Below are 13,299 nucleotides of genomic sequence, written 5' to 3'. Positions count from 1 at the left end.
TTCATAGACATTGATTACAACTAAATAAGCTGCACAAAGACTACACCATTGTGCCCACATGGAATGAGAGTCACCATAGTCTGCTCAATTGTCACCCTCAGGCCCATCTTCAGGTGAATGTCTTCCCATACAAAAACCACTCTGTAAAGTTTGGAAGAGGTGACTACACCAACTGATGCACAGCCATCAACGCAGGGACACACACAAAAAACATGAAAAAGCAAGGAAGCATGATACTACCAGAGGAATGGAATAATTCTCCAATAATTAACCCCAAATAAATGTAAACTTACAAATTACCTGAAAATGAGTTCAAAATATTAATGTTAAGGAAATTCAGCAAGATACCACAGAAGATATAGAAACAATTCAATGAAATTGGAGAATAATTTATGATCTGAGTGATAAATTCAACAAAGAGATAGATATCATTAAAAAGAACCAAAAATAAATCCTGGAGCTGAAAAGTTCAATCAGCAAAATTAAAAAAATACAATAGAGAGAACTTCAATAGCAGACTAGATCAAACAGAAGAAAGAATCTGTCAACCTGAAGATGGTGGTTTTTTTTTTGAAATGACTCAGTAAAAATAAAAGGAATGAAAAAGAGTGAAAACAGCCTATGGGACTTAAGGAGCATCATTAAGCAAACATTAAACAAACTTTCACATTATGGGATTTTCAAAGGAGAAGAGATAGAGAAAGGGACAGAAATATTATTTAATGAAACAATTGCTGACAACTTCCGAAGTCTTGGGAGAGATATCAACATCCAGATTCACAAAGCTCAAAAGTTCGCAAACAGTTACTACCCAAAGGGGCCCTCTCTAAGGTACACTATCATCAAACTGTCAAAAGTCAAAGAGAAAACTTTAAAACCAGCAAGAGAAAAATGTCAAGTCACATACAAAGGAATATCCATTAGAATATCAGTGGATTTCTCAGCAGAAACCTTGTAGGCCATAAGAGAATGAAATGATGTAGTCAAAGTCCTGAAAGAAAAAAAAAAAAAAAAAAACAGTCAGCCAAGAATACTATACCCAGCAAGTCTGTCATTCAGAAATGAAGGAGACAGTTTTTCCCAGACAAGAAAAAATTTAAGGAATTCATCACCACTGGACCTGCCCTACAAGAAATGCTTAAGGAAGTTCTTCAAGTTGAAACATAAAGAAGATAATTACTATTATGAACACATATGAAAATCTAAAACTTACTGGTAGAGGTAAATACATACTCAAATCCAGAATATTCCAATACTGTTGTAATGGTGTGTAAATCATACATAACTCTAGTATGGTTATAAGTCAAAACAGTGAACAACTCATAGACATAAAGATAGCAACAATAGAAACTGGGAACAATTAGAGAAGGGAATGGGGTAGGGGGCAAGGGTTGAAAAATTAACTATTAGGTACTATGCTCAGTGCTTGGGTGATAGAATCATTCATACCCCAAACCTCAGCATCATGCAATATTCCCAGTTAACAAACCTACACATGTACCATGTGAATCTAAAATAAAAGTTGAAAAGAAAAAGAAAAAGAAAAAAAGATGGTTAACAATAACTAAAATTATAATGTTGTTAAAAATACCCAATATAAAAAGATGTAAATTGTTACATCAAAAATATAAATTGTGGAAAACGAAGGTAAAAGTCTAGTTTCTGCATGTGATAGAAGTTGAAATTAGCTTAAAATAGTTTATTATAACTATAAGATGTTTTATGTAAGCATCACGGTAAACATAAAACAAAAACCTACAGCAGATATACAAATGATAAACAGAGAGGACTCAAAGTTCAGCACTAAGAAAAGTATCAAATCACAAAGATAGACAACAGAGAAAGAAAGGAACAAAGAAGCTAAAAAACAACCATAAATAATAAACAAAATGGCAGTAGTAAGTCTTTACCTATTAATAATAACCTTGAATGTAAGTGAATTAACTTCTCCAATCAAAAGACATAGAGTAGTCGAATGGATTAAAAAAAAAAAAGGTCCAACTATATGGTGTCTATGGGGTACCCACTTAAGCTTTAAGGCCATAGGCTGAAAGCAAAGGAATGGGAAAAGCTATTCTACACAAATGGTAACCAAAAGAGAGCAAAGTGGCTGTGCTTATATCTTTATATCTGACAAAACAGACTTCCAGTCAAAAATTTTTACAAGAAACACAGAAGGTCATTGTTTAATGATAAAGAAGTCAATTCATCAAGAAAACATAACAATTATAAATATATAGGAATCTAACATTGGAGCACCTAAATACATAAAGTAAATATGAATGGACATAAAAGGAGAAATCGATAGCAATACAATAATAGTAGGGAACTTCAGGCTGGGCGTGGTGGCTCAAGCCTGTAATCCCAGCACTTTGGGAGGCCAAGGTGGGCAGATCATGAGATCAAGAGTTCATCCTGGCTAACACGGTGAAACCCCATCTACTCAAAATACAAAAATTAGCTGGGCGTGGTGGTGGACACCTATAATCCCAGCTACTCGGGAGGCTGAGGCAGGAGAATCATTTAAACCTGGGAGGTGGAGGTTGCAGTGAGCCAAGATCACGCCATTGCACTCCAGCCTGGGTGACAGGGTGAGACTCCATCTCCAAAAAAAATAGTAGGGAACTTCAGTATCTCACTTTCTTCAATGGGTAGATCAATGGGTAGATCAACCAGACAGAAAATTCATAAGGAAATACTGGATTTAAATTGTACTTCTGATCAAATGGGCCTAACAAATGTATAAAAAAACCTTTCCATCCAAGAGCAGCTGAATATACATTTTTCTCTAATGCACATGGAACATTCTCCAGGATAGGCCATGTTAGGCCACAAAACAAGTCTTAATAAATTGAGAAAGATTGAAATCATATCTAGTGTCACTTTAGACCATAATTATAAAAAAACTAGAAATCAATAACAGTAAGAAATCTTGGAAAATTCACAAATAACTAAACATGCCCTGGATCAAAGAAGAAATCAAAAGGGCAATTTGAAAATATCTTGAGACAAGCGATAATGAAAACACAACACACCAAAACCTATGGGATATGGCAAAATCAGTTCTAAAAGGGAATTTATAGCAATAAATGCCTACATTAAAAATGAAGAAGGATCCTGATATTGTTTGAATGTGTCCTTCAAAGTTCATGGTGTTAGAAACTTAGTCCCCAATGCAACAGTGATGGGAGGTGGGCCTAACAAGAGATGACTAGGTAATGAGGACTTTGCCCTCATGAATAGGTTGTTATTACTGTGAGAGTGAATTAGTTATTGTGAGAGTGGGCTTGTTATAAAAGCCAGTTTGGCCCCATCTTGCTCTCTCATACTTTTTTGTCCTTCCACCTTCTGCCATGGAGTGACACAGCAAGAAGGCCCTCGCCAGATGCAGGCCCCTCAATCTTGGACTTCCCAGCCTCCAGAACTACAAGAAACATTTATCTTTTCTTATAAATTGCGCAGTCTGTGGTATTCAGTTATAGCAACACAAAATGAATTAAGACAGGTCCCAAATAAATAGTCTAACATTATGCCTTAAGTAACTAATAAAAGAAGCACAAACTAAACCCAAAATTAGAAGAAGGAAAGAAATCATAAAAATCAGAACAGAAATAAACAGAGAACAGAAAAATCATAGAAAAAATCAATAAAACTAAGAGTTGGTTGTTTGAAAAAAATAAACAATATTAACAAATCCTTAGCCAGTCTAAGACAAAAATAGAAAAGGCTCAAATAGAATGAAAGTGAAAGTGAAAAAATTATAAGACACTTAAGAAATTAAAAGAGACGGCCAGGCACGGTGGCTCACGCCTGTAATCCCAACACTATGGGAGGTCGAGGTGGGAGGATCACGAGATCAGGAGATCGAGACCATCCTGGCTAACATGGTGAAACCCTGTCTCTACTAAAAATAAAAAAAAATTAGCTGGGCGTGGTGGTGGGCGCCTGTAGTCTCAGCTACTCAGGAGGCTGAGGCAGGAGAATGGCATGAACCTGGGAGGCAAAGCTTGAGCCAAGATCGCACCACTGCACTCCAGCCTGGGCGACAGAGCGAGACTCCATTTCAAAAAAAAAAAAAAAAGAAAAAGAAAAAGAAATTAAAAGAGACTATTATGAACAATTATATGCCAACGAATTGGATAACCTAGAGGAAATAAATAAATTCCTAGAAAAATACAACCTACCAAGATTGAGTCAGGAAGAAATAGAAAGCTTGAACAGACTAATAACAAATAAACAGATTAAAGAAGTAATTAAAAATCTCACAACAAAGAAACACCCAAAACCAGGTAGCTTCATGACTAAATTCTACCAAACACTCAAAGAAGAATTAACACCAATACTTCTTAAACTCTTCTAAAAACAGAGCTAGCAGGAATACTTTCCAACACATGTTATGAGGCCAGCATCACCTGAATTCTTAAGCTTGATAAAGACATCACAAGAAAAGAAAACTAAAGGCTACTGATGAATATTAATGCAAAAACTCCTCAATAAAATATTAGGAAACAAAATCCAACAATACATCAAAAAGATTATATAAGCTGACCAAGTGGGAATTATCCCTGTTATGCAAGACTGGTTTAACATAAGCAAATCAATCCATGTGATACATATGACATTAACAAAATGAAAGATAAAAACCACATGATCATCTCAATTGATGCAGAAAAAGCATTCAAAAAAGCCCAACATCCTTTTTTGACAAAAACTTTCAAAAGTTTAGGTATTAATGTTCCTCAACATAATGTAAGGCCATTTTATGAAAAACCCACAGCTAACCTTATAATCAATAAGGAGAAACTTACAGCTTGTCCACTACAATGTGATACAAGGCAGGAATGCCTACTCCCACCACCTCTATTCAACATAGTACTGAAAGTACTAGACAGAACAATCAGACAAGAAAAAGAAACAAAAGATACCCAAATAAGAAAGGAAGAAGTAAAATTATCTCTATTTGCAGATGAGATGATCTTATATGTAAAAAACCCCAAGTCCATAAAAAACTGTTAGAACTAATAAATGAATTCAGTAAAGTTGCAGGATACAAAATCAACATACAAAAAAAGTAACATTTTTATACAAAAATAATTACCTAACTGAAAAAGAAATAAACAATCCCATTTATGATAGCATCGAAAACATACTTAATAAATTTAACCAATGAGGTGAAAGATATGTATACCCAAAACTGCAAAACACTGATGAAATAAACTGAAAAAGATACCAATAAATGGAAAGATATCCCATGCTCATCGATTGGAAAAATTAATATTGATGAAATGTCCATACTATCCAAAATAATATACTGATTCAGTGCAATCCCAATCAAAATCCCAATGGCATTGTTCACAGAAATAGCAAAAACTATCCTAAAATTTGTATGGAAACATAAAAGACCTTGAATAAACAAAACAATTCTGAGAAAGGAAAACAAAATTGGAGGCATCATACTTCCTGATTATATTATATAATTTATTATATTACAAACCTATAGTAATCAAAATGGTATTGTTCTGGCATAAAAACAGACACATAGACCAGTGAAACAGAATAGAGCGCCCAGGAAAAAATCCAAACATATACAGTCAATTACTTTGTGACAACGGCACCAAGAGAACACAATGGGGAAAGGGTAGTCTCTTCAATAAATGGTGCTAGAAAAACTGGATTTCCACGTGCAAAAGAATAAAATTGAATCTTTAGCTTATACCATAATAAATTCAAATGGATAAAAGACCTAAATGTAAGACCAGAGATTATAAAACTTTTTGAAGGGAATATAAGAGAAAAGCTCCTGGATGTTGGCCTTGACAATGATTTTTTACATATCACACTAAAAGCTCAAGCCACAAAAGGAAAATTAAATAAATGAGACTACAACAAACTAAAAAGCTTCTGCACAGAAAAGGAAACAATCAACAAAATGAAATGGCAGTCTATGTATTGGGAGAAAATATTTGCAAATCATATATCTGACAAGAGATTAACATCCAAAATGTATAAAGAACTCATACAACTCAATAGCAGAAAAACAAACACCTAACTACAAAATGGTCAGAAGACCTGAATAGACATTTCTTTAAAGAATACATAAAAATCTCCAATGAGCATATGAAAAAATGCTCTACATCATTAGTCACCAGGGAAAGGCAAATCAAAGCCACTATGAGATACCACTTCACACCCACTAGAATGGCTATTATCAAAAAGTCAAAAGATAACAATGTTGCCACAGGCATGGAGAAAAGAGAACTCTTGTACACTGCTGGTAGGGATGTAGATTGGTATGACCATTATGGAAAACAATACAGAGGTTTCTAAATAAATTAAAAATAGAACTACCATATGACCCTCTCTGGGCATATACCCAAAAGCAATGAAATCACCACCTCATAAAGATATCTGCACTCTCATGTTCGCTGCAGCATTGTTCACAATAGCCAAGATATGGAAACAACTTAAATGTTCATCAATGGACAAATGGATAAAGAAACTATAGTGTGTAACACACACACACACACACACACAATGAAATATTATTTGGCCTAAAAAGAAATGAGATCTTGCCATTTGCCACAACATGGATAAGCCTGGAGGACATTATGCTAAGTGAAATAAGCCAGACACAGAAAGAAAAATATTGCATGATGTATTAGGTGTTCTCATGCTGCTAATAAAGACATAAGGACGAGTAATTTATAAAGGAAAAGGGTTTAATTGACTCATAGTTCCACATGGCAGGGGAGGCCTCACAATCATGGTGGAAGGCAAAGGGCAAGCAAGACATGTCTTACATGGCAGCAGGCAAGAGAGGGCATGTGCAGGGGATCTCCCCTTTATAAAATCATCAGATCTCACGAAAACTCACTTACTATCAAGAGAACAGCGTGGAAAAGACACGCCCCTTGATTCAAATACCTCCTACAGGGTCCCTCCCATGACACGTGGGAATTATAAGAGCTACAATTCAAGATGAGATTTGGGTGGCGACACAGCCAAACCATATCATTCCACCGTTGGCCCTTCCCAAATCTCATGTCCTCACATTTCAAAACCAATCATGCTTTCCCAACAGTCCCCTAAAGTCTTAACTCATTTCAGCATTAACTCAAAAGTCCACAGATCAAAGTCTCATTTGACACAAGGCAAGTCCCTTTTGCATATGAGCCTGTAAAATCAAAAGCAAGTTAGTTACTTCCCAGATACAGTGGGGGTACAGGCATTGGGTAAATATACTCATTCCAAATAGAAGAAATGGCCAAAACGAAGGGGCTTCAGGCCTCATGCAAGTCCAAAATCTAGCAGGGCAGTTAAATCTTAGAGCTCCAAAATTATCTCCTTTGAATTCCATGTCTCACATCCAGGTAACGCTGATGCAAGAGGTGGGCTCCCATGGCCTTGGGCAGCTCCACCCCTGTGGCTTTGCAGGGTACAGCCCCCTCCTGGCTGCTTTAACAGGGTGGCGTTGAGTGTCTGTGGCTTTTCTAGGTACACAGTACAAGCTGTCAGTAGATCTACAATTCTGGGGTCTGGAGGACAGTGGCCTTCTCATAGCTCCACCAGGCAGTGCCCCAGTAAGGATTCTGGCTGAGGGCTTGCACCCCACATTTCCCTTCTGCACTGCCCTAGCAGAGGTTCTCCATGAAGGCCCCACTGCTGCAGCAATCTTTGCCTGGACATCCAGGCATTTCCATACATCCTCTGAAATCTAGGCAGAGGCCTCCAAACTTCAATTCTTGACTTCTGTGCATCCGCAGGCTCAATACCACATGGAAGCTGCCAAAAATTGGGGCTTGCACCCTCTGAAGTCACAGGCCGAGTTGTACCTTGGCCCCTTTTAGCCACAGCTGAAGCAGCTGGGACACAGGACACCAAGTCCCTGGGCTGCACATACAGCAGGGGGATCCCTGGACCCAGGCTCACGAAACCAATTTTTCCTCTTATGCCTTGGGCTTGTGAGGGCAGGGGCTGCCGTGGAAACCTCTGACATACCCTGGAGACATTTCCCCTATTGTCTTGGCAATTAACATTTGGCTCCTCATTACTTATGTAAATTTCTGCAGCCAGCTTGAATTTCTCCTCAGAAAATGGGTTTTTATTTTCTGTCGCATCATCCAGCTACAAATTTTCCAAACTTTTATGCTCTGCTTCCCTTTTAAACATAAGTTCCAATTCCAAACCATATCTTTGTGAATACATAAAACTGAATGCTTTTAACAGTATCCAAGTCACTTCTTGAATGCTTTACTGCTTAGAAATTTCTTCCTAGAATTTTCTCAAGTTCAAAGTTCCACACATCTCTAGGGCAGGGGCAATATGCCATCAGTCTCTGTGTTAAAACATAGCAAGAGTCATCTTTGCTCCAGTTCCCAACAAGTTCCTCATCTCCATCTGAGACCACTTCAGCCTGAACTTTTTTTGTCCATATCACTATCAGCATTTTGGTTAAAGCCATTCAACAAGTCTCTAGGAAGTTCCAAACTTTCCCATATTTTCCTGACTTCTTCTGAGTGCTCTAAACTGTTCCAACCTCTGCCTGATACCCAGTTCTAAAGACGCTTCCACATTTTTGGGTATCTTTACAGCAATGTCCCACTACCTCGGTGCCAATTTACTGTATTAGTCTGTTTTCACGCTGCTAATAAAGACATATCTGAGACTGGGTAATTTATAAAGGAAAGAGGTTTAATGGACTCACAGTTTCACATGGCTGGGAGGCCTCACAATCATGGCAGATGGTGAAGGAGAAGCAAGACACATCTTACATTGCAGCAGGCAAGAGAAGGCATGTGCAGGGGAACTCCCCTTTATAAAACCATCAGATCTCATGAGAACTCACTATCATGAGAACAGCACAGGAAAGACCTCCACCACAATTCAATTGCCTTCCACCAGGTTCCTCCCATGATATGTGGGAATTATGGGAGCTACAATTCAAGATGAGATTTGGGTGGGGACACAGCCAAACCATATCACATGACATCACTTATATGCAGAATCTTAAAAATTCAAACATATGAAGATAGAGAACACAACAGTGATTACTATGGGTGGGGGCTTGAGGGAGAAAATGGAGAGATGTATGTAGGTCAGAGGATAACAAATAGCAGATATATAGGATAAACAAGTCTAGAGATCTAATGTACAACATGAGGAGTATATGTAATAAAATTGTACTGTATTTGGGATTCATGCTAAATAAGTAAATTTTAGCTGCTCTTGCTACAGAAACAAAAAAATAGGTAACTATGTGAGATGATGGATACATTAGTTTGTTTCACTGTAATTATCTTTTTACTATGTATATGTATCCCATAACATTATGTTGTATACCTTAAATATACACAATGAAATGTATTTTTTAAAAAATACTAGTGATTAATCCTAAGCCAAAAGAACAAAGCTGGAGGCATCACACTACCTGACTTCAAACTATACTACAAGGCTACAGTAACCAAAACAGCATGGTACTGGTACCAAAACAGAGATATAGACCAAGGGAACAGAACAGAGCCCTCAGAAATAATACCACACATCTACAACCATCTGATCTTTGACAAACCTGACAAAAACAAGAAATGGGTAAAGGATTCCCTATTCAATAAATGGTGCTGGGAGAACTGGCTAGCCATATATAGAAAGCTAAAACTGGATCCCTTCCTTACACCATATACAAAAATTAATTCTAAATGGATTAAAGACTCAAATCTTAGACCTAAAACCATAAAAACCCTAGAAGAAAACCTAGGCAATACCATTCAGGACATAGGCATGGGCAAGGACTTCATGTCTAAAACACCAAAAGCAATGGCAACAAAAGCCAAAATTGACAAATGGGATCTAATTAAACTAAAGAGCTTCTGCACAGCAAAAGAAACTACCATCAGAGTGAAGAGGCAACCTACAGAGTGGGAGAAAATTTTTACAATCTACCCATCTGACAAAGGGCTAATATCCAGAATCTATGAAGAATTTAAACAAATTTACAAGAAAAAATCAAACAACCCCATCAAAAAGTGGGCAAAGGATATGAACAGACACTTCTCAAAAGAAGACATTTATGCAGCCAAAAAACACATGAAAAAATGCTCATCATCACTGGCCATCAGAGAAATGCAAATCAAAACCACCATGAGATACCATCTCACACCAGTTAGAGTGGCGATCATTAAAAAGTCAGGAAACAACAGGTGCTGGAGAGGATGTGGAAAAATAGGAACACTTTTACACTGTTGGTGGGACTGTAAACTAGTTCAACCATTGTGGAAGACAGTGTGGCGATTCCTCAAGGATCTAGAACTAGAAATACCATTTGACCCAGCCATCCCATTACTGGATAGGTATATACCCAAAGGATTATAAATCATGCTGCTATAAAGACACATGCACACGTATGTTTATTGCGGCACTATTCACAATAGCAAAGACTTGGAACCAACACAAATGTCCACCAATGATAGACTAGATTAAGAAAATGTGGCACATATACACCGTGGAATACTATGCAGCCATAAAAAAGGATGAGTTCCTGCCCTTTGTAGGGACATGGATGAAGCTGGAAACCATCATTCTCAGCAAACTATCGCAATGACAGAAAACCAAACACCACATGTACTCACTCATAGGTGGGAATTGAACAATGAGAACACTTGGACACAGGGTGGGGAACATCACACACCGGGGCCTGTTGTGGGGTGGGGGGAGTGGGGAGGGATAGCATTAGGAGATATACCTAATGTAAATGACGAGTTAATGGGTGCAGCACACCAACATGGCACATGTATACATATGTAACAAACCTGCACATTGTGCACATGTACCCTAGAACTTAAAGTATAATAAAAAAAGAATAAATTTTTTAAAATTAAAAAAAATACTAGGGATTAATGACCTAGCAATTCTTCTTGATTCCCAATCAACTACAAAGAACTCTGATGGCTGTCAAAAAAACTGTCACTTCCTAAGACATGATTTAATACCTAAGCCTATTCAAAGCTACATATAGGAGTGGGTGAGTAGAGAAATGTGGACTTCATCCTCACTTACTAAAATGTTTTTCAAACTTCAAGACAGCCTTTACTTTTTAAAATGTTTTTCAATGAAAGAAACACCTTGGAAACACGTATTAAACCTATTACCAGCACAAATGTTATGGTCGGTGGAATGATTCTGAATGTATGAGCTTGCTGAAAAAAAGGGATGGGAAAGATAAATAGGTACTGACACATCCATGCCTAGGATTCTAAACTTGGCTGTGCGTCAGAATCGCCTAGGGAACTTTTAAAAATACACATTCCTGGCCTCCCCACAGTCCTATTCAATGACATTCTCTGGGGTTCAGGCCCAGAAACCTGCATCTTTAAAGCTCATCAGGTGACTGATGCACTGCCAGGTTTGGGAACAAAGTCAGATCATTTAGACCATACACTGCCTCCAACACCACAAGAATTTTTGTATTACAAGATAGCAAAAAGAAAGAATTTATTACTACAAATAGATCCCTTGTGACTAGCAGGTTATTTTTGGTAAAATTTACTGTAAAATTGGGTTGCATTTTAAGGGCATTACGCACACTTTCTAATGCATTGGTGTCATTTGTGTAATGATTGCATATGCCATATTTGTGTCCATTTTGTAGGATTTGGAGTGTAATTTTTAACTACTTAAAATGATTATAGATTTCTAGTTCCTATATCTTTGCTTTCATGTCACATTGTTGATTATATTTATGATTTATTTGATGCTACATCTTTGGTCAGGAACACAAACCCCAATAGTAATATTGTTCCTGTAGGAAAATATGATCTGTTTTATAACAGTTCCCAGGAATACCACTGTGGTGAAAATTGGGGACTGCCTGTACAAATGTAGCTCATTGTTAACAAAAGGATGTTCCCGAAATGTAGTATAAACTGAATTTGTATCAGTCAACTCATTTAAAATCTACCAAGAACCTGTTCAACCCAAAAGGAATCCTTTAGTAAAGAAATACTTTTAGAAAATTAAAGCTCATCCTTATTTTATTTGCTCTGAAAACTCTGATTTAATACATGGAGAAATATTAAAACAGAGCACACTAATATTTAGACTAGAAGCTAGTCTAGGCCACGATAAAAATGGATTTTTCTTGATTATCAAACTGCAGATCAGACACTTTGGAGTCAAAAAATAATCACTGAATCTCCAGTCCAGGGAGGTTATCTTTTGTATTGCTGTGGGTGTGGATGGAAAATCAGTTTCTTTGTAGTCGAAGACTTAAAAAGAATCAGAGTAAAGACAAATGCTTATACAATGTTCCTGTAAGTGAAAATGGTAGGTGTAAGGATCCTCCTTTTACAGACTGCGAAATGCAAGCACAGGTTGATCTGCGCAGCTTAAATGGTTAGGAGAGGTAAACTAGATACTAGAATCAACTGAAGAACCAAGAGTTATTTGCTCTAAAGAAGAATACTGCTTAAACTAGCAATTTCCAAGGGCAGAAGAGGGAGAGATAGAATCAGAAAAGGCATGCAAAAGTACTTTGTAAACTCTTTAGTACCATGCAAACATAGGAAGCAGAGTTCTCTGTTGAAAGTGAGCATGTGGGCAGTGATGTTGAGAGTTTGAGAAGAAAGTATGACAAAATCTTAAAAAGGAAGGGAATGAATGAACTAGAAAGGCTGCATAAAGGTCTAACTTGAGTTCTACATTCATGAATTCAAAGTGAGAGAAAGAAATAAAAGGCATCCCAATAGAAAAAGAGTAAGTCAAATTATCTCTTGTTGCTGACAATATGATTCAATACCTAGAAAACTCTAAAGATTCTGCCAAAAGACTCCTAGATCTGATAAGACCTCAGCAAAGTCTCAGGATACAAAATCAATGCACAAAGATCAGTAGCATTTCCACACACTAATAATGTTCAAGCTGAGAGCCAAATCAAGAATGCAATTCCATTTACAATACACACACACACACACACACACACACACACACACACACAAATACCTAGGAGTACAGCTAACCAAGAAGGTAAAATATCTCTATGAGGAGACCTACAAAATACTACTAAAGGAATTCAGAGATGACACAAGCAAACAAAAAAGCATTCCATGCTCATGGGCTAGAAGAATCAATATTGTTAAAATGTCCACAGTGCCCAAAGCAATCTACAGAGTCAATGCTATTCCTATCAAATTACCAATATCATTTTTCACAGAATTAGAAAAAAAGCTATTCAAAGCTTCATATGGAACCAAAAAACAGCTTGAATAGCCAAGGCAATCCTAAGCAAAAAGAAAGCTAGAGGCATCA

General features: G+C 37.1%; 1 protein-coding gene across 8 annotated transcripts in view; it reads right to left on the bottom strand.

Moving 5' to 3' along the window:
• The window catches only part of EDA (ectodysplasin A), a 423,360-nt gene that overhangs the window by 368,272 nt on the left and 41,789 nt on the right, over positions 1–13,299 (bottom strand). The window contains exon 2 of one of the 8 annotated variants that reach the window (NM_001005613.4): positions 908–991. The exons of the other annotated variants lie outside the window; for them this stretch is intronic. Within the exon in view, the coding sequence (NP_001005613.1) occupies positions 941–991 (51 nt within the window). The 3' untranslated portion in view covers positions 908–940. The remainder of the gene's footprint in view (positions 1–907; positions 992–13,299) is intronic. 8 annotated transcript variants of the gene reach the window in all.

The sequence above is a fragment of the Homo sapiens genome, chromosome X (genome assembly GCF_000001405.40).
Source record: "Homo sapiens chromosome X, GRCh38.p14 Primary Assembly".
Classification (NCBI taxonomy): Eukaryota; Metazoa; Chordata; class Mammalia; order Primates; family Hominidae; genus Homo; species Homo sapiens.
Note: the sequence above shows the minus strand (reverse complement) of the source record. Positions and strands in the feature narration are given on the sequence as shown.